The sequence below is a fragment of the Homo sapiens genome, chromosome 1, assembly GCF_000001405.40.
Source record: "Homo sapiens chromosome 1, GRCh38.p14 Primary Assembly".
Lineage (NCBI taxonomy): Eukaryota > Metazoa > Chordata > Mammalia > Primates > Hominidae > Homo > Homo sapiens.
Genome location: NC_000001.11, coordinates 213619567 through 213642834, shown reverse-complemented (window position 1 = coordinate 213642834; position 23268 = coordinate 213619567). Strand labels below are relative to the sequence as shown.

The following is a 23268-nucleotide window of genomic DNA, read 5'->3' as shown; positions in this document are numbered from 1 at the left end:
TAAATGTAAGAAAATAAACTTAAGAGTATTACAAATAATAGATGAATATGATTGTGAACTTGGAGTTAAAAAGTCTGTTCTAATAAAGTTACAAAAGCAGAAGCCAAAAAACTTGACAAATTTGATTAATTTATCAAACTTACATTCTTCATTACAATAAAGTACACTAACAAATAATAATTTAAGTCCAAAACAAAGAAACAAATAATGATAAAAACTATTTGTCACATAGATAATAATCAAAGGCTTGATATTCAGGATTAAAAACCTCCTACGATTAATAAGAAAAAAAGCAAACAATGCAAGCATTAAAATAGGCACTTTCTTCTTAGTACTTTCCTGGAAATAATAATGATAATAAAATAGGCAAAAATATAATTTACAGAAAAGAACGTGTGATATTAAATAACAAAAGATGCTCAGTCTCACTGGTAATCAGAAATCACTTTTTAAAACAAAGTAAGAAAACTGGTCCCAGGTAAGATAAAGCAAATACACACCATGCTTTTCCTTCAATTGAATGCAACTCTAAAACCTGGACAGAATGTCTGGCCCACTAGAGGACTCTGTAAAATAAACAGCAGTAGGTGGACCAGGGATGGGTGCCAAAAACGAAAGTACTATCAAACTAGCAATAAGTTCATCAATTTTTGTCCTCTGTGTCCACCTGGCCTAACTCAGCTGGAAAATCTGAAATGAGCACTGTGCTGGGTAGGAAGAGCTTCAGGAGAAACCCTCTAGTCTTCACCCAAGGAGTCAGGGAAGTTCTAAAGCTCAGAGAGAGTGGGGTAAATTCTTATATTTCTCTTTCCTTTTGCTTCATTCTCTTGCACACCCACCAGGCAATCCTATGGTGGTGGCCCTGGCCCCCAGTCATAGAAGCAATGGTTAGCCTTCAGGAGCCAAAACTTGAAGGGAGGATAACTTTCTTCTTTATTTAGTGGAGCAGAAGTTCCATGAAGATAAGGACAAATTTCATTGCTTTATTTATTTATTTATTTATTTTTGCAGGGGGTGGGGGTGGGTGGGGCAGTGGTGATGTCCTTCTATCACTTTGCCTCAGACACACTGTGACTGTAGAAGTGAATGGTTTCTGAATAGGAGACCAAAATGGACACCCTAGAGAACTGGGTTGTACTGAGTAGATCACAGAGAGTGAGGAACTCAGGACAGTGATCTGATAAACTTTTAAGCTTTAACCCACACATGCTTGGATTTAATCCTAAGAAAATATATTGAAGACTTTGAAAACTGAGCTAACCAGTAGACCTTTACCCAGGTCCCAGAATGACCACTTGGTACTACACACATGGGACAGATCTGAGTAGCATTGCAAGACTAAAAGTGGAACTGACATTGTAACCACAATCTACAGAAGGCAGATCGAAACTTCGGGTCTAAATCTAATAACCAATTTACCCACTAAAACAAAAATATTAACAACATTAATACAATTCAAACAAAGCTCAGTGTCTCATAACTTAATATTCAAAATACTACAAATACAATCCAAAATTACTCAGTATATGACAAACCATAAAATTTTTAACTCATATAGAAAAAGACAATAGACACCAAGGAGATGATGCAGATATTAGATCATCTAACAAAGAGCTGAAAGCAATTATAAAAGTGCTTGAAAGAGCAATAAAAACACTCTAGAAAAAAAATGGTAAAAGAGTAAGAATCAGTGGTTATATTAATATCAAAGTGGATGTCAGGTTTAAAAAAAAATCTGAAAAGTAAAGAGAGACATTACATATTTCTAAAAGTGTCAATTCACCAAAAAGACATAACAATTCTAAATGTGTATATACCTAACAACAGAGCTCCAAAATAATGAAGCAAAAACAGACAGAAATCAAAGAAGAAATAAGCAAATTAGTAATCATAGTTGCAACTTCAAAAACAGCAAGGATAATGAAGAGCTGATTGACACCATCAACTAACTGGATAAAATTATTAATAAAAACCAGTAGAATATACATTTTTTTAAGTGAACATGAACAATTCACCAAGAGAAACCATATCTAGGATCATATAATAAACATTAACATGTTTAAAAGAATTGAAATTATACAAAGTCTATTTTTTGACCATGATGAAATTATACTAGAAATCAATAAAAGAAAGGTAGCAGGAAAATCTTCAAACATGTGGAAAGGTAAAACCCTTAAAAATAATCCATAGATCAAAAAGGAAGTCTCAATGGGACTGCATGAAAAGGCAAACACAACACATGAAAATCTATGGGACTAACCTAAAGCCGTGTTTAGAGGGAAATGTATAGCACTACAATGCCTATATGGTATTAGAAAGAGAAAAAAATATCAAATAAATCATCTAAGCTTCCACTTGAGGAAACTAGCAAAAAAAAAATGAACACAAATCAAGCAGAAGAAAGTAAATAACAAAGGTAAGGGAATAAATCAATGAAACTGAAAACAGAAATATAATAGAGAAAAATCAATCAAACTAAAAGCATACTGTTAGAAAAAAATCACTAAAATGGATAAGCATCTAGGAAGACTGACAAAAAAGAGAGAGAGAGAGAAGACACAAATTACCAATATCAGGAATGAAATAGGGGATATCACTGCAGACCTCACAGGCATTAAAAGGAAATAACGAAATACAGAATACTATATGCATGATAATCTGACAATGTAGATTAAATGAGCCAATTCTTTACAAACCACAAACTACTAAAACTCACTCAAGATGAAGTAGATAACAGTAGATAACCCAAAAAATCCTGCAACTATCAAAGAAATTGAATTTGTAGTTAAAAGTCTTTCAGAACAGAAACTCCAGATCCATATGTAATTTACTGGAAAATTTTACAACATACTAAAGAAAAAATAACACCAATTCTACTCTCTTTTGAAGAAAATAGAAGAGGAATACTTTCCAACTAATTTTACAAGGCCAATATTATACTAATACCAAACCACAAAAAGACAGTACATGAAAAAAAAAACTATAGACCAATATTCCTCATGAACAGAGATGAAAAAACACTCAACAAAATATTAGCAAATGGAATAGAGAAATATCTTTTTTTAAAAATCACCACAATTAAGTAGGGTTTATTCCAGGAATGCAAAGCTGATTCAATATTCATAAATATGTCATTATAATTACCATGTTAACCATCTAAAGAAGAAAAACCATGTGATCTTATCCATAGATGCGGGAAAGCACTTGACAATGTACAACATCTATTTATAATAGACACCCTCAGTAAAGTAACAAGAGAAGGGAACTTCCTTAACATGATGAGGAACATCTACCAAAAAATCCCAAAAAACTCTTCAGCTAACTTCATACTTAAGGGTAAAAGATTCTCCTCCCTCCCTGCTCCACCCCAGCCCTTGCCACCAAAAGGCTTTCTCTCTAGGTTGAAAAGTAAACTAGGATGTCCATCTAGGAGATCCATTCTCAATACTCTCATTCAACATCATACTGGAAGTCTTATCCAGTGCAATAATGCAAGTAAAAGGAATAAAAGGCAGATCGATTTTAAAGGAAGACAATAAAGCCGTTTCTATGCACAGATGACATGATCACCTGCATAGAAAATCTCAGGGCTCTACCAAAAACCTCCTAGAGAAAAGTGAGTTCAGCAAGGTTATAGGATACAATGTCAATACAAAAATGTCTATTGTATTTCTATATAGTAACAACATACAATTGGAAACTGAAATTAAACCATACCATTTACAATAGCTCAAACAAAATGAAATACTTAGGAATAAGCCTTACAAAACATATACAGAGTATATATGCTGAAAACTGTATGCTGATGAAAGAAATCAAAGAGGACATAAATAAATGGAGAGACAAAATATCCATGGCATAGAAGACTCAGCATACTAAAGATATTGGCTTTCCCTAAATTGAGATATAGATTTAATCAAGTACCAACCAAATTCCAGCATGCCTTTTTTGCAGAAATTGGTAGGCAGATTCTAAAACACACACAGAAATGAAAAGGACCCAGAATGGGCAAAGCAACTTGGGAAAAGAATAAAGTTGAAGAAATCTAACTACATGATATCAATACTTACTATAAAGTTACAGTATTCAAAACACATGGTATTGGTAAAGGATTAGACAAATAGATCAATGGAACATAATAAAGACCAAAAACAGGCCCATACAAATTTACCCATCTAATATGTGACAAAAGTGCAAAAGCAACTTAATAAAGTAAAAATAGTATTTCCAACAAATGGTTTTAAACCAATTAGTCACTTATATGCAAAAAAAACCCAAAACAAATCTTGTCCTATACCTCAAACCTTATATAAAATGTAACTAAAAGTGAATCATAGATTTAAATTTAAAATGTATAACTTTTAGAAGAAGACATAGGAGAAAATCTTCACGACCTGAATTATGTGAAGACCTCCTAGACATGAAAACTAAAGGATAATCCATAAAAGAAAAACTGAAAGATTAGAGTTTATCAAAATTTAGAACTTTTGCTCTGAGAATGAAATGACAAACTACAGACTGGGAGAAAATATTTGCAAATCACAATTCAAACAAAACATTTAAAGAATTTTCAAAACTCAACAATAAGAAAAGAAACAATCCAGCTAAAAATTCGGCAAAAATTTGAATATATCATCAAAAAAGATACCTATAGGGCAAATAAAAGATGCTTAACATCATTACCTATTGGGGGAATGTAAATTAAAGCCACAATAAGGCCAGGAACAGTGGCTCACACCTGTAATTCTAGCACTTTGGGAGGCTGAGGTAGGAGGATTGCTTGAACCCACAAGTTGTAGACCAGCCTGGGCAATACAGCAAGACTCCATCTCTACAAAAAAAATTTTAACATTAGCCAGGTGTGATGGTGCACAGCTATAGTCCCAGCTACTTGGGAGGCTGAAGAGAGAGGATCACTTGAGTCCAGGAGGTCAAAGCTTTAGTGAGCCAATGACACTGCACTCCAGCCTAGGCAAACGAGTGAGACACTACCTAAAAAAACAAAAACAAAAACAAAACAAAACAAAAAGCCATAATGAGATACCACTACATGCTTATTAGAATGGCTAAAATAAAAAGTACTGGCATTACCAAGGGCTAGGTGGTGAGGATACAGAGCAACTGAAAGTCTCCTACATTGTTGGTGGGAATGCAAAATGACACAGCTACTCTGGAAAATAGTTTCACGGTTTCGTACAGTTAAATATAAACTTATCATTTCAACCAGTAATCCTGCTCTACCCCTTGGTATTTGCTAATTTTTTTAATTATTATACTTTAAGTTCTAGGGTATATAAGCACAACGTGCAGGCCTGTTACATAGGTATACATGTGCCATGTTGGTTTGCTGCACCCATCAACTCGTCACCAACATTAGGTATTTCTCCCAATGCGATCCCTCCCCCTGCCTCCCACCCCCACCCACTGCCACATTTTCTTAATCCAGTCTATCATTGATGGACATTTGGGTTGGTTCCAAGTCATAGTTGGTTGCTATTGTGAATAGTGCCACAATAAACATACGTGTGCATTGTCTTTATAGTAGCATGATTTATAATCCTTTGGGTATACACCCAGTAATGGGATTGCTGGGTCAAATGGTATTTCTAGTTCTAGATCCTTGAGGAATTGCCACACTGTCTTCCACAATGGTTGAACTAGTTTACACTCCCACCAACAGTGTAAAATCATTCCTATTTCTCCACATCCTCCAGCATCTGTTGTTTCCTGACTTTTTAATGATCACCTTTCTAACTGGTGTGAGATGGTATCTCATTGTGGTTTTGATTTGCATTTCCCTGATGGCCAGTGATGATGAGCATTCTTTCATGTGTCTGTTGACTGCATAAATGTCTTCTTTTGAGAAGTGCCTGTTCATATCCTTTGCCCATTTTTTGATGGGGTTGTTTTTTTTCTTCTAAATTTATTTAAGTTCTTTGTAGATTCTGGATATTAGCCCTTTGTCAGATGAGTAGATTGCAAAAATTTTTCTCCCATTCTGTAGGTTGCCTGTGCACTCTGATGGTAGTTTCTTTTGCTGTGCAGAAGCTCTTTAGTTTAATTAGATCCCATTTGTCAATTTTGGCTTTTGTTGCCATTGCTTTTGGTGTTTTAGTCATGAAGTTCTTGCCCATGCCTATGTCCTGAGTGGTATTGCCTAGGTTTTCTTCTAGGGTTTTTATGGTTTTAGGTCTAACATTTAAGTCTTTAATCCATCTTGAATTAATTTTTGTATAAGGTGTAAGGAAGGGATCCAGTTTCAGCTTTCTACATATGGCTAGCCAGTTCTCCCAGCACCATTTATTAAATAGGGAATCCTTTCCCCATTTCTTGTTTTTGTCAGATTGTCAAAGATCAGAGAGTTGTAGATGTGTGGTGTTATTTCTGAGGGCTCTGTTCTGATCCATTGGTCTATATATACTGTTTTGGTACCAGTACCATGCTGTTTTGGTTACTGTAGCCTTGTAGTATAGTTTGAAGTCAGCATGATGCCTCCAGCTTTGTTCTTTTTGCTTAGGTTTCTCTTGGCAATGAGGGCTCTTTTTTGGTTCCATATGAACTTTAAAGTAGTTTTTTCCAATTCTGTGAAGAAAGTCATTGATAGCTTGATAGGGATGGCACTGAATCTATGAATTACCTTGGGCAGTATGGCCATTTTCACAATATTGATTCTTCCTATCCATAAGCATGGAACGTTCTTCCATTTCTTTGTGTCCTCTTTTATTTCCTTGAGCAGTGGTTTGTAGTTCTCCTTGAAGAGGTACTTCACACCCCTTGTAAATTGTATTCCTAGGTATTTTATTCTCTTTGTAGCAATTGTGAATGGAAGTTCACTCATGATTTGGCTCTTTGTTTGTCTGTTATTGGTGTATAGGAATGCTTGTGATTTTTGCACATTGATTTTGTATCCTGAGACTTTGCTGAAGTTGCTTATCAGCTTTAGGAGATTTGGGCTGAGACAATGGGGTTTTCTAAATATACAATCATTTCATCTGCAAACAGGGACAATTTGACTTCCTCTTTTCCTATTTGAATACCCCTGATTTCTTTCTCTTGCCTGATTGCCCTGGCCAGAACTTCCAACACTATGTTGAATAGGAGTGGTGAGAGAGGGCATCCCTGTCTTGTGCCAGTTTTCAAAGGGAATGCTTCCAGTTTTTGCCCATTCAGTATGATATTTGCTGTGGGTTTGCCATAAAGAGCTCTTATTATTTTGAGATACATTCCATCGATAGCTAGTTTATTGAGAGTTTTTAGCATGAAGGGCTGTTGAATTTTGACAAAGGCCTTTTCTGCATCTATTGAGATAATCATATGTTTTTTGTCATTGGTTCTGTTTATGTGATGGATTATGTTTATTGATTTGCATATGTTGAACCAGCCTTGCATCCCAGGAAGCCAACTTGATCGTGGTGGATAAGCTTTTTGATGTGCTGCAGGATTCGGTTTGCCAGTATTTTATTGAGGATTTTCACATCGATGTTCATTAGGGATATTGGTCTAAAATTCTCTTTTTTTGTTGTGTCTCTGCCAGGCTTTGGTGACAGGATAATGCTGGCGTCGTAAAATGAGTTAGGGAGGATTCCCTCTTTTTCTATTGATTGGAATAGTTTCAGAAGGAATGGTACCAGCTCCTCCTTGTACCTCTGGTAGAATTCGGCTGTGAATCCATCTGGTCCTGGACTTTTTTTGGTTGGTAGGCTCTTAATTATTGCCTCCATTTCAGAGCCTGTTATTGGTCTATTCAGAGATTCAATTTCTTCCTGGGTTAGTTTTGGGAGGGTGTATGTGTCCGGGAATTTATCCATTTGTTCTAGATTTTCTAGTTTATTTGCATAGAGGTCTTTATAGTATTCTCTGATGGTAGTTTGTATTTCTGTGGGATCGGTGGTGATATCCCCTTTATCATTTTTATTGTGTCTATTTGATTCTTCTCTCTTTTCTTCTTTATTAGTCTTGCAAGGGGCCTATCAATTTTGTTGATCTTTTCAAAAAACCAGCTCCCGGATTCATTGATTTTTTGAAGGGTTTTTTTTTTTAACTTTATGGATTTTTTATTTCCCCTCTCATATTTTTAGTGTCTCTATCTCTTTCAGTTCTGATCTGATCTTAGTTATTTCTTGCCTTCTTCTAGCTTTTGAATTTGTTTGCTCCTGCTTCTCTGGTTCTTTTAATTGTGATGTTAGGGTGTTGATTTTAGATCTTTCCTGCTTTCTCTTATGGGCATTTAGAGCTATAAATTTCCCTCTACACACTGCTTTAAATGTGTCCCAGAGATTCTGGTATGTTGTGTCTTCATTCTCATTGGTTTCAAAGAACATCTTTATTTCTGCCTTCATTTCATTATTTACCCAATAGTCATTCAGGAGCAGATTGTTCAGTTTCCATGTAGTTGTGTGGTTTTCAGTGAGTTTCTTAATCCTGAATTCTAATTTGATTGCACTGTGGTCTGAGAGACAGTTTGTTGTGATTTCTGTTCTTTTACATTTGCTAAGGAGTGCTTTACTTCCAACTATGTGGTCAATTTTGGAATAAATGCAATGTGGTGCTGAGAAGAATGTATGTTCTGTTGATTTGGGGTGGAGAGTTCTGTAGATGGCTATTAGGTCCATGTGATGCAGAGCTGAGTTCAAGTCCTGGATATCCTTGTTAACCTTCTGTCTCATTGATCTGTCTAATATTGACAGTGGGGTGTTAAAGTCTCCCACTATTATTGTGTGGGAGTCTAAGTCTCTTTGTAGTTCTCTAAGGACTTGCTTTATGAATCTGGATGCTCCTTTATTGGGTGCATATATATTTAGGATAGTTAGCTCTTCTTGTTGAATTGATCCCTTTACCATTATGTAATGGCCTTCTTTGTCTCTTTTGATCTTTGTTGGTTTAAAGTCTGTTTTATCACAGACTAGGATTGCAACCCCTGCTTTTTTTTTTTTTTTTTTTTTTTTTTTTTTTTTTTTTTTGCTTTCCATTTGCTTGGCAGATCTTCCTCCATCCCTTTATTTTGAGCCTCTGTGTGTCTCTGCACTTGAGATGGGTCTTCTGAATACAGCACACTGATGGGTCTTGACGCTTTATCCAATTTGCCAGTATGTGTCTTTTAATTGGGCCATTTAGCCCACTTACATTTAAGATTAATATTGTTATGTGTGAATTTGATCCTGTCATTATGATATTAGGTGGTTATTTTGCCCATTAGTTGGTGTGGTTTCTTCCTAGCATCGATGGTTTTACATTTTGGCATGCTTTTGCAGTGGCTGGTACCGGTTGTTCCTTTCCATGTTTAGTGCTTACTTCAGCAGCTCTTGTAAGGCAGGCCTGGTGGTGACAAAATCTCTCAGCATTTGCTTGTCTGTAAAGGATTTTATTTCTCCTTCACTTATGAAGCTTAGTTTGGCTGGATATGAAATTCTGGGTTGAAAATTCTTTTCTTTAAGAATGTTGAGTATTGGCCCTGATTCTCTTCTGGCTTGTAGAGTTTCTGCTGAGAAATCTGCTGTTAGTCTGATGGGCTTGCCTTTGTGGGTAACCTGACCTTTCTCTCTGGCTGTCCTTAACATTTTTTCCTTCATTTCAACCTTGGTGAATCTGACAATTTTGTGTCTTTGGGTTGCTCTTCTCAAGGAGTATCTTTGTGGTGTTCTCTGTATTTCCTGAATTTGAATGTTGGCCTGCCTTCCTAGGTTGGGGAAGTTCTTCTGGATTATATCCTCAAGAGTGTTTTCCAACTTGGTTTCATTCTCCCCGTCACTTTCAGGTACACCAATCAAACGTAGATTTTGTCTTTTCACATAGTCCCATATTTCTTGGAGGCTTTGTTCGTTTCTTTTTACTCTTTTTTCTCTAAATTTCTCTCCTCACTTTATTTAATTAATTTGATCTTCAATCACTGATACCCTTTCTTCCACTTGTTCAAATCAGCTGTTGAAGCTTGTGCATGCGTCACGTAGTTCTCATGCCATGGTTTTCAGCTCCATCAGGTCATTTAAGGTCTTCTCTACACTGTTTATTCTACTTAGCCATTCATCTAGTCTTTTTTCAAGGTTTTTAGATTCCTTGCGATGGGTTTGAACATCCTCCTTTAGCTCGGAGAAGTTCATTATTACCAACCTTCTGAAGCCTGCTTCTGTCGACTTATCAAAGTCATTCTCCATCCAGCTTTGTTCCATTGCTGGCGAGGAGCTGCGATCCTTTGGAGGAGAAGAGGCGCTCTGGTTTTTAGAATTTTCAGCTTTTCTGCTCTAGATTCTCCTGGTTTTTGTGGTTTTATCTACCTTTGGTCTTTGATGTTGATGACCTACAGATGGGGTTTTGGTGTGGATGTCCTTTTTGTTGATGTTGATGCTATTCCTTTTTGTTTGTTAGTTTTCCTTCTAACAGTCAGGTGCCTCAGCTGCAGGTCTGTTGGAGTTTGCTGGATGTCCACTCCAGACCCCGTTTGCCTGGGTATCACCAGTGGAGGCTCAGTTGGAAATGCAGAAATCACCTGTCTTCTGCATCAATCATGCTGGGAGCTGCAGACTGGAGCTGTTCCTATTTGGCTATCTTGGAATGGGGATACCCCTTGGTATTTTCTCTAGGGAAATGAAAACGTATGTTCACATAAAAACCTGACACAAATGTTTGCAGCAGCTGTATCCACAATTTCAAAAAACTGAAACACCCCAAATGTCCTTCATTGGGTGAGTGAATAAACAAACGCTGATAAAAGTGTATGGTGGAATATTACTAGGCAATTAAAAGGAAAAACCTCTTGATATTATGGAACAAGTCTCATGAATCTCAAAAGCATTATGCTGAATAAAAGAAGCAAACCTTAAAATGTTACATACTGTATGATTCCATTTATGTGACATTCTCAAAAGGACAACACTACAATGATGGAGAAGAGATCAGTGTTTGCCAGGGGTAGGAAAAGGGGAGAGAGAGTCCCAACTGTGCATGTGTTAAAGTTTCTAGAACTCTACATCAAAAAGAAAACAGCTAATTTTACTGTGTAATACTTTTAAAATATAGTTTTGTAGGGCAAAAAACCCATATTTTTAAAAATAATGTTATATTTTAACTTAAAACATAAAGAGAGAAGCCCCATTTTTATACCCATTAGATTAGCAAAAATCAACACACTTATCAAGACAAGATTTTGGGGAAAATCAATACACTAGAAGGCTACTGGTGGAAGATTAAATTGGTAAGCCATTTAAAAAGAAAATTTAACTATTAGAATATTAAATATACTTAATGGCCCAGTGATTATAATTTTTGTATAGAAAAACATTCATATACATATTCAATGAGGTTTTTACAGGTATCTTCATTCTGACATTGTTTGTAATCACAAAAAATTGTAAACATCCTAAAGTTCATCAGTAAAGGAACAGCCAAGAAAATATACCTACTCACTAGAATACAATACACCCTGTAAGAGGAATAGAGTAAATCTATTTTTTTTTTTTTTTGGCATAGAAAGAGCCCCAGATTGGTGGAGCCAAGATGGCCGAATAGGAACAGCTCCAGTCTACAGCTCCCAGCGTGAACGACACAGAAGATGGGTGATTTCTGCATTTCCAGCTGAGGTACTGGGTTCATCTCACTGAGGAGTGACAGACAGTGGGTGCAGGACAGTGGATGCAGCACACAGAGCATGAGCCAAAGCAGGGTGAGGCATCGCCTCACCAGGGAAGTGCAAGAGGTCAGGGAATTCCCTTTCCTAGTCAAAGAAAGGGGTGACAGATGGCACCTGGAAAATCGGGTCACTCCCACCCTAATATTGCGCTTTTCCAACTGTCTTAGCAAACGGCACACCAGGAGATTATATCCCACACCTGGCTCAGAGGGTCCTATGCCCCAGTAGGGGAAGACTGACACCTCACACGGCCAGGTACTCCTCTGAGACAAAACTTCCAGAGGAACAATCAGACAGCAACATTTGCTGTTCACCAATATCTGCTGTTCTGCAGCCTCCGCTGCTTATACCCAGGAAAACAGGGTCTGGAGTGGACCTCCGGCAAACTCCAATAGACCTGCAGCTGAGGGTCCTTACTGTTAGAAGGAAAACTAACAAACAGAAAGGACATCCACACCAAAACCCCATCTGTACATCACCATCATCAAAGCCAAAGGTAGATAAAACCACAAAGATGGGGAAAAAACAGAGCAGAAAAACAAAACTCTAAAAATCAGAGCACCTCTCCTCCTCCAAAGGAACACAGCTCCTCACCAGCGATGGAACAAAGCTGGATGGAGAATGACTTTGACGAGTTGAGAGAAGAAGGCTTCAGATGATCAAACTACTCCGAGCTAAAGGAGGAAGTTCGAACCCATGGCAAAGAAGTTAAAAACCTTGAAAAAAAATTAGATGAATGGCTAACTAGAATAACCAATGCAGAGAAGTCCTTAAAGGACCTGATGGAGCTGAAAACCAAGGCACAAGAACTACATGACGAATGCAGAAGCCTCAGTAGCCGATTTGATCAACTGGAAAAAAGGGTGTCAGTGATGGAAGATCAAATGAATGAAACGAAGTGAGAAGAGAAGTTTAGAGAAAAAAGAATAAAAAGAAACAAAGCCTCCAAGAAATATGGGACTATGTGAAAAGACCAAATCTACGTCTGATTGGTGTACCTGAAAGTGACGGGGAGAATGGAACCAAGTTGAAAACACTCTGCAGGATATTATCCACGAGAACTTCCCCAATCTAGCAAGGCAGACCAATATTCAAATTCAGGAAATAAAGAGAATGCCACAAAGATACTCCTTGAGAAGAGCAACTCCAAGACACATAATTGTCAGATTCACCAAAGTTGAAATGAAGGAAAAAATGTTAAGGACAGCCAGAGAGAAAGGTCACGTTACCCACAAAGGCAAGCCCATCAGACTAAGCGCTGATCTCTCGGCAGAAACTGTACAAGCCACAAGAGAGTGGAGGCCAATATTCAACATTCTTAAAGAAAAGCATTTTCAACCCAGAATTTCATATCCAGCCAAACTAAGCTTCATAAGTGAAGGAGAAATAAAATCCTTTACAGACAAGCAAATGCTGAGAGATTTTGTCACCACCAGGCCTGCCCTAAAAGAGCTCCTGAAGGAAGCACTAAACATGAAAAGGAATAACCGGTACCAGCCACTGCAAAAACATGCCAAATTGTAAAGACCGTCGAGGCTAGGAAGAAACTGCATCAACTAACGAGCAAAATAACCAGCTAACATCATAATGACAGGATCAAATTCACACATAACAATATTAACCTTAAATGTAAATGGGCTAAATGCTCCAATTAAAAGACACAGACTGGCAAATTGGATAAAGATTCAAGATCCATCAGTGTGCTGTATTCAGGAAACCCATCTCACATGCGGAAACACACATAGGCTCAAAATAAAGGGATGGAGGAAGATCTACCAAGCAAATGGAAAACAAAAAAAGGCAGGGGTTGCAATCCTAGTCTCTGATAAAACAGACTTTAAACCAACAAAGATCAAAAGAGACAAAGAAGGCCATTACATAATGGTAAAGGGATCAATTCAACAAGAAGAGCTAACTATCCTAAATATATATGCACCCAATACAGGAGCACCCAGATTCATAAAGCAAGTCCTTAGAGACCTACAAAGAGACTTAGACTCCCACACATTAATAATGGGAGACTTTAACACCCCACTGTCAACATTAGACAGATCAATGAGACAGAAGGTTAACAAGGATACCCAGGAATTGAACTCAGCTCTGCACCAAGCAGACCTAATAGACATCTACAGAACTCTCCACCCCAAATCAACAGAATCTACATTCTTCTTAGCACTACACCACACCTATTCCAAAACTGACCACACAGTTGGAAGTAAAGCTCTCCTCAGCAAATGTAAAGGAACAGAAATCACAACAAACTGTCTCTTAGACCACAGTGCAATCAAACCAGAACTCAGGGTTAAGAAACTCACTCAAAACTGCTCAACTCCATGGAAACTGAGCAACCTGCTCCTGAATGACTGCTGGGTACATAACGAAATGAAGGCAGATATAAAGACGTTCTTTGAAACCAACGAGAACAAACACACAACATACCAGAATCTCTGGGACACATTCAAAGCAGAGTGTAGAGGGAAATTTATAGCACTAAATGCCCACAAGAGAAAGCAGGAAAGATCTAAAACTGACACCATAACATCACAATTAAAAGAACTAGAGAAGCAAGAGCAAACACATTCAAAAGCCAGCAGAAGGCATTAGGAGATATACCTAATGTTAAATGACAAGTTAATAGGGGCAGCACAACAACATGGCACATGTATACATATGTAACTAACCTGCATGCTGTGCATATGTACCCTAAAACTTAAAGTATAATTTAAAAAGAAAGAAAAAAAAGACAAAAGCTAGCAGAAGGCAAGAAGTAACAGATCAGAGCAGAACTGAAGGAAATAGAGACACAAAAAACCCTTCAAAAAATCCATAAATCCAGGAGCTGGTTTTTTGAAAAGATCAACAAAATTGATAGACCGCTAGCAAGACTAATAAAGAATAAAAGAGAGAAGAATTAAATAGATGCAATAAAAAATGATAAAGGGGACATCACCTCCGATCCCACAGAAATACAAACTACCATCAGAGAATACTATAAACACCTCTACGCAAATAAACTAGAAAATCTAGAACAAATGGATAAATTCCTCGACACATACACCCTCCCAAGACTAAACCAGGAAGAACTTGAACCTCTGAATAGACCAAACAGGCTCTGAAATGGAGGCAATAATTAATAGCTTACCAACCAAAAAAAGTCCAGGACCAGATGGATTCACAGCCGAATTCTACCAGAGGTACAAGGAGGAGCTGGTACCATTCCTTCTGAAACTATTCCAATCAGTAGAAAAAGAGGGAATCCTCCCTAACTCATTTTATGAGGCCAACATTATCCTGATAACAAAGCCTGGCAGAGATGCAACAAAAAAAGAGAATTTTAGAGCAATATCCCTGATGAACATCGATTCCAAAATCCTCAATAAAATACTGGCAAACTGAATCCAGCAGCACATCAAAAACCTTATCCATCATGATCAAGTGGGCTTCATGCCTGGGATGCAAGGTTGGTTCAACATATGCAAATCAATAAACATAATCCAGCATATAAACAGAACCAATGACAAAAACCATATGATTATCTCAATAGATGCAGAAAAGGCCTTTGTCAAAATTCAACAGCCCTTCATGCTAAAAACTCTCAATAAATTAGGTATTGATGGGACATATCACAAAATAATAAGAGCTATCTATGACAAACCCACAGCCAATATCATACTGAATGGGCAAAAACTGGAAGCATTCCCTTTGAAAACTGGCACAAGACAGGGATGCCCTCTCTCACCACTCCTATTCAACATAGTGTTGGAAGTTCTGGCCAGGGCAATCAGGCAGGAGAAGGAAATAAAGGGTATTCAATTAGGAAAAGAGGAAGTCAAATTGTCCCTGTTTGCAGATGACATGATTGTATATCTAGAAAACCCCATTTTCTCAGCCCAAAATCTCCTTAAGCTGACAGGCAACTTCAGCAAAATCTCAGGATACAAAATCAATGTGCAAAAATCACAAGTATTCTTATACACCAATAACAGACAGAGAGCGAAATCATGACTGAACTCCCATTCACAACTGCTTCAAAGAGAATAAAATACCTAGGAATCCAACTTACAAGGGACGTGAAGGACCTCTTCAAGGAGAACCACAAACCATTGCTCAATGAAATAAAAGAGGATACAAACAAATGGAAGAACATTCCATGCTCATGGGTAGGAAGAATCAGTATCGTGAAAATGGCCATACTGCCCAAGGTAATTTACAGATTCAATGCTATCCCTATCAAGCTACCTACGACTTTCTTCACAGAATTGGAAAAAACTACTTTAAAGTTCATATGGAACCAAAAAAGAGCCCGCATCGCCCAATCAATCCTAAGCCAAAAGAACAAAGCTGGAGGCATCACGCTACCTGGCTTCAACCATACTACAAAGCTATAGTAACCAAAACAGCATGGTACTGGTACCAAAACAGAGATATAGGCCAATGGAACAGAACAGAGCCCTCAGAAATAATGCCACATATCTACAACTATCTGATCTTTGACAAATCTGACAAAAACAAGAAACGGGGAAAGGATTCCCTATTTAATAAATGATGCTGGCAAAACTGGCTAGCCATATGTAGAAAGCTGAAACTGGATCCCTTCCTCACACCTTATACAAAAATTAATTCAAGATGGATTAAAAACTTAAATGTTAGACCTAAAACCATAAAAACCCTAGAAGAAAACCTAGGCAATACCATTCAGGACATAGGCATGGGCAAGGACTTCATGTCTAAAACACCAAAAGCAATGACAACAAAAGCCAAAATTGACAAATGGGATCTAATTAAACTAAAGAGCTTCTGCACAGCAAAAGAAACTACCATCAAAGTGAACAGGCAACCTACAGAATGGGAGAAAATGTTTGCAATCTACTCATCTGACAAAGGGCTAATATCCAGAATCTACAATGAACTCAAACAAATTTACAAGAAAAAAACAACCCCATCAAAAAGTGGGCAAAGGATATGAAGAGATACTTCTCCAAAGAAGACATTTATAAGGCCAAAAGACACATGAAAAAATGCTCTTCATCACTGGCCATCAGAGAAATGCAAATCAAAAACACAATGAGATACCACCTCACACCAGTTAGAATGGCGATCATTAAAAAGTCAGGAAACAACAGATGCTGGAGAGGATGTGGAGAAATAGGAACACTTTTACACTGTTGGTGGGACTGTGAACTACTTCAACCATTGTGGAAGTCAGTGTGGCGATTCCTTAGGGATCTAGAACTAGAAATACCATTTGACCCAGCCATCCCATTACTGGATATATACCCAAAGGATTATAAAACATGCTGCTATAAAGACACATGCACACGTATGTTTATTGCGGCACTATTCACAATAGCAAAGACTTGGAACCAAGCCAAATGTCCAACAACGATAGACTGGATTAAGAAAATGTGGCACATATACACCATGGAATACTATGCAGCCATAAAAAATGATGAGTTCATATCCTTTGTAGGGACATGGTTGAAGCTGGAAACCATCATTCTCAGCAAACTATCGCAAGGACAAAAAACCAAACACCGCATGTTCTCACTCATAGGTGGGAATTGAACAATGAGAACACATGGACACAGGAAGGGGAACATCACACACCGGGGACTGTTGTGGGGTCGGAGGAGGGAGGAGGGATAGCATTTGGAGATATACCTAATGTTAAATGACAAGTTACTGGGTGCAGCACACCAGCATGGCACATGTATACATATGTAACAAACCTGCACGTTGTGCACATGTACCCTAAAACTTAAAGTATAATAAAAAAAAAGAGCCCCAAGACATATTTGTAAATGGGGAAACAAAAGCAAATTTCAAATCTTTCCATACTGCATGTTACCATTTATATATTAAAAAGAATATTGCATAAGTACACACATATAAAAATATAGTACAAAGTCTCTAAGACATACAATAAATCAGGAACAGGACTTTCTGTGAGAATAGGTGGAATAGGAAGCATCTAAAGAAACTGCTTTTTTTTCTTTTTCTTTTTTTACACTGAAATGTTATTACTATATTACTTGTGTTTTAAAAATAAATAACTTTTGGCCAGGCGTGGTCCTAGCACTTTGGGAGGCCAAGGCGGGCTACTCGGGAGGCTGAGGTAGGAGAATCGCTTGAACCCGGGTGGTGGAAATTTGCAGTGATGGAGATCACACCACTGCACTCCAGCCTGGGCGACAGAGTGAGGCTCTGTCTTGGAAAAGAAACAAAACAAAATAAATAAATAAATAACTTTTAAGAGGGAACATGCTTAATCTATGCTATAGACTGAATGTTTATGTCGCCCCTCAAATTGATATCTTGAAACCTAATCCCCAATGTAATGGTATTTGGAGGTGAGGCTTTGGAAGGCAATTAGGTCTTGAAGTCAGAGACTTCATGAAGGAGATTAGTGCCCTTATAAAAGAGACCCCAGAGAGCTCCTTCGCCCCTTCCACCAAGTGAGAACACGGCAAAAAGAGGGATCCTGAGCACCACAGGTCCAGAAGCCTCCTCAGACCTGCTCAGCCTCCTGGCTATTAAGCGTAGTGGGTGGCTGGGCCTATGGGCAGTGCTGTAGGCTGAGGCAGAGTTCCCCAGCCCAGGCCTGACCATCCAGCCTGGACATCCCTGACTAGCCACTACTGAAAGGCTGGTTCAAATCTCACCTCCTCCAACAAGCTCTCCATGACTGCTTTTGCAACCAGGAAGCCCTTCAATATTTATGAAGTCAGTTTGGACTGCAGTTAATCCTTTCAAGTCCTGCAACTATTCAGCCCTTCCATGTACACTCTGGCAATCGCTTTCATAGTCTCCTCTTCTTGTTTCCTTTCTACCCATCCTAGCTTGCTCAACTGGATTCTAAGCTCTGTCAGGACAAAGATCATTGCATACATACATTTCATACATTGCATTTACTCCAAACACGAAATGACCTTTTTCTCACCTGGCACAATGCTGAGTACACAGCAAGTGCTTAATATGTAGGTAGTATCATATGCCAGCCCTTTAAAGTTAGTGCCATGCCCAAGTGCCTGTCTGGAGGTTAGGTCACAGAGCCTCAGTGGTCACCTCTCAGCATCTATATCCAGCCTCCTTGTCTGCTTACCCAGGCTCTGGCTCTGCCCTGCGGTTTTTGTTCTACCTCTGACCACTTCCCCATCTGTAATGAAGTCTCCAGTGAACCATCACACCTCAATTCTGTTGCCCCTCCACACACAATGCTGCTTTTTAGCTTGCAAATATTTTCTAGAACCTCACTGCTTCTTCAGTGTCCAGCGGTAACCCTGGTTTTGCCCCTCACTGCCCAGTGCGACATCTCGGGCAGGTGGATGGAAGGTAAGATGACAGGTGAATACACACAGCACCTTGCTGCCCTCCACAGACCTCAGCGGATGTGTTGCTAGCAGTCTTTGCCACCTACTGTACCTCTGCCTTGCCCTTGCCTCTGCCTATTAATTTCCTGGTAGACCTCTAAAACCTATATCCAAGCCTATTTTATATGACAATTTTCAACATATACTCACTGAATAGCTAATATGCCTAATAATGAGTTCCTAATAAGGAACTGCATTCTGTAATTCTTCCAACTCAGTATGACAGTTCCCTTTTCTGAATCTCTGAAACACCCCTGGTCAACTTCTCTTGTGATGTTTGTCATAGTTTGCCTGGTCTTATCTATTTATGTATTTGCCTTTGCCACCAGTCCCTCATTAGACTGTAAGCGCTTATGGGTGACTTTTTACACATTGCTATCTCTCTTTATATTTCCGGCATCCCTCGAGGGCAGGGTTTTGTGGCTAGTAAGGCTCAGTGGGTATTTCTGATTGACTCAATTCACTAAATTGAGTTAAATGGCGAGATAAATGGATGGATGAATGAAACTATTAATACACGGTTCCGCAAATCTCCCCACAGTGCCCATCCATGGTTCTTCACAGAATAGACCTTCAGTCAATGCTGTTGACAGACTGATTGATGTGTCTGAAAACGAAGAGTGATTCCTGGTGAGTCAGAGGTTTTCATTTACTCCATGTGTTTTGGCTTCAAACCCTACAACAGTCATGCCCGATGTTTCAAAACCAGAACTGCAATCGCCTTCCTTCTACAGCCAGGTTGCCACAGAGATGGGGCCTAGAGAACAAAATGCTTCTGAATGGATCGATCGAGGCATATCTGAAGATAGAAAGTTCCAAAGGCTTTCCTGGACTGCCTCTAGGACGGGCCCTATTATTAACCTCCTCTGTGAGGCTGAGCTGCTGTCTGGCCTCGCGCGACTGAAATGATTTTCTCCTGGACTCACGCCGTGGCTTTGTAGGCCACAACCACTGCCTAGAAGCCAAGTCAATCTGAGAAATAAGGGAGGCCCTAGTGGTTTGTGGTTTTAGAAGGCGTTTCCTTTGACATTAAGCCCGGGAAAGGACAAGCAAGCCACAGCAGGTTCAAGAGAAAGGGAGCAAAGCCTGGTTTGGGGTGACCAGAGGTGATTTCCCAGCCCCGTCCCTTCTAGCAGCAAGACCCCCACAGGATCAAGTGCCTATGGGGGTCAGGGGGAGGGAATGCCCAGAGACATACGTGCAGCCGACTGCAGGGGTGCCGCTGGTATTCAGAGAGAGTGTCAAGGAAAGGGCAGCTCAGGAGTCGTGAGCTGTGCACTGTGAAACAGCTGAGTGGGCACTGGAGCGGGAGGGGCAGGGATGGAGGGAGACACTGAGACTACAAACGTGCAACCGAATGGAATTTAGTCTGTAGATACTTCCTGTGGAATTAAGCATGCCCTACTGTCCGGCCCACTGACATGGGAGAAAGGGTCTTTCCAGTTCCAATTCACAAAAGAGGAGGCTGCAACTTGCATTCTCAGGGATAAATGCCCCTGATAGCAGAAAGCCACTGGCCTCCACGACTGGCAAAATAAGTACATGCCTGTAACAGTGTGATCTCAAGGGTGCTGCACAAACTTCAGAGCTTAAAAAAAAAAAAAAAGACATTACTTGTCCCCGAGCAGGGTAATGCCTAAAATTCCATTATTGCTTTTTCCCAAGGCTTAAACATTGGTGGAAGTACAAATATGCAGGGGGAACATTTCAAGTATTTCGTCAGGTACACCTCAGTGTCTGGAACTCTTTTAGATCCTGTCCTGTGGGCAGGTTTTCTGAGGGGAGGAGATGAGGAGGTGAGAGAGTTGGGGAACTCCAAGTAACAAGAAGGAAGAGGCTTGGAGGGGCAGAGGAAGGGGCATACAGGGCTAACACAGTGATCCCAAACAGGCTGTCCTTTCCACAGTTTTGCCCAGGGTCGGCCAGCCCTTCAGATCCTTGCCAGATTCATTCGTTGCTGCACCATCCTTAAAAGAAATAGGGCATCACGTTCTCCTAACCAGCACCGACTTCAGGGTATGGTACCTGCACAGTCACCTAGGGCTTGTGTTCAGAAGGGCCCACACTTTAATGCTCTGCAGTTGCCATCTTAAAATACCTTATATTTTTGGAATAAAGGGCCCCACATTTTCACTTTGCATTAGGCCCTACAAATTATATAGCTGGTCCTGCTCTTAACTATCCCCTAGCAAATCACAAAAGCCCTCTGAACAGAGGTCAGTCTAAACTCACAATTCTCTCTTCATCACACATGTTAGTTCCTTCAGTCTATTTTTACACGTCAGGGAATATTTGAAGAAATGTCCTTAATTCCGAGCACTTTAATTCACCTTCACCAACTAAGCTTCTTTTGAGGTGACTTAGGCGTCATGTGACCCATCCTATTATTAGCACATGCCTAGCCATCCCCAACCCACCCCCCACCCACAAACTCCTGCTTTCCCTGCCCTTATATATACCTGTCTCTTAGCAGAAGAGTGACACATGAACTCCTAGCCTCAAGAATACTTGGCGTGGGTCCCTGTTTCTCAGCCGTATCTATTGTTCTAGTCCAGAATGACACTGGCTTCTACGCGTGTTTCTGACATTTCTGACTTTTAGTGGGGAATGCCATTAATCAATCGGCTGCATCTGTTTTGGAAACATTAAATAGCTCAAGTCAAGGCAAACACAGTAAATAATCCTTCAACAATCCAGGAGAGTAGTGGGGGCAGAGAAGGCAGGGTTGTGTCTTCTAGTTATCTGAAATGCATTTAATCTGCTGCTGGATCCTCTGCACCTGGGCTAGGGTTACTTACTGGACACAGAAAGAAGAGGTCAAAAGCTCTTTAAAAATGTGAGGCTCAAACCAGGGTATTAAGAGTGTAAGTGTGCTATTCAACACATGTGTTGTGGACAATGAGTTAGCCAATGGGAGGCTGGGAAGAGGCTCTTCCCTGTGGTTTAAAACTATAGAAATATACTCTAATTCTTTAGTAAGTACGGCCTCCCTAGGGAGAGGCAGTAATGGTACAGTGGTTAGGTATGGTGGAGTCAAACCAGCTGGATTCCAACCTTGACTTTTTCCCTTACTAAGCATTGACCTTGGGGAAATTACTTAACCATACTGTGTCTCCATTTCTTTACATGCAAACTAAAAATGTAACAACTATGTCAGGGTTATTGAGGGAATAAATTAATTAGTGTCTATGTGGTGAATTGAAGATGGCTCCAAATTCATTGACATTCCTTCCATTGAGAGGTGGGATTTTATTCTCTCCTCCTCTTAATTCTGGGCTGGCCTGTTACAACTTTGGCTAGTAGAGTGGGGCAGAAGTGAAATTTGCTAGTTCTGGGCCTACCCTTGAAGAGAACTAGAAGTTTCTATCTTAGTCTCTTGGAGCCCTAAGCCAAGAAGGTTGATTTCCTCATTAGAGAAGCCACATGGAGAGGCAGTGAGAACACAAGAGAAGTGGGACACAACTGAACACAGGCTTCCAGCCCCTCCACCAAGGTACCAAGATATGTGAGTCAAGCCACTTTGGACCCCAGAAACCAGCCCATCTACCAGCTGGATAACATTGAGTGACCCAGTGTGAAGCTGAAGAAATGCCCAGCAGAGCCCTGCCCAAATTTCTGACCCATAATATCGGGGAAATATAATAAAGTGGTGGTTGTTTTAATGTACAGAGTTTTAAAGTAGTTTGTTAAGCAGCCATACACAAATGGAACAACCTGTACAGCACTATAGATGACAACCTAACAGAACATCAGGACAGTGACTGGAACACAGTAGGCAGTCAATGTTAGTTCTTCTACTTACGTACGGCTATACTTGCATTGGTAATATTAGATGGATTAAATTTTCTGAATATTTAAAAAATTGGAAACTACATCTAAAAATTAATGACCCTAAGCTCATTGTGGTTAACTCCAAGTACTATATTAACTTTTCCCTCTACTACTTCTATTCATGTAGTTCTCTCTTCTATTTCCTACCTCCATTCTATTTTTCAGATTCTTTTACCTGGTTGCCTTCTATTCATGCTTTATATCATTTTCTCAAATGTCAATTGCATATATGGTTCACCTGGACATTTTGCAAAAAAGCAGATGCTAGGTCAATAGGTCTGGGACAGATCTAAAATATGCATTCCTAGCAAGCTCCAAGGTGATGCTGTTGTTATTGGTCTATAGGCCATACCTTGAGTAGCAAGGCTTTAGTCTCACCTTAGGTATTACCTCCTCCTGAGACCTTCCTAATCCCCACTCTCTCCAAGGCTGAATTAGTGAGAT

At 39.3% G+C, this 23268-nt stretch overlaps 1 protein-coding gene across 1 annotated transcript in view, besides 1 other annotated feature; it reads right to left on the bottom strand.

Moving 5' to 3' along the window:
- The window catches only part of RPS6KC1 (ribosomal protein S6 kinase C1), an 811495-nt gene that overhangs the window by 219901 nt on the left and 568326 nt on the right, over positions 1-23268 (bottom strand). The window lies entirely within an intron of this gene.
- Positions 20872-21041: an enhancer, noted in NCBI's record as "experimental_3904 CRE fragment used in MPRA reporter constructs". NCBI's record gives its function as "activates a minimal promoter by MPRAs in K562 erythroleukemia cells, with activity observed for both the introgressed and non-introgressed 1:213795222 variant alleles {active_cell/tissue: K562}" and the evidence as "EXISTENCE:reporter gene assay evidence [ECO:0000049][PMID:34662402]".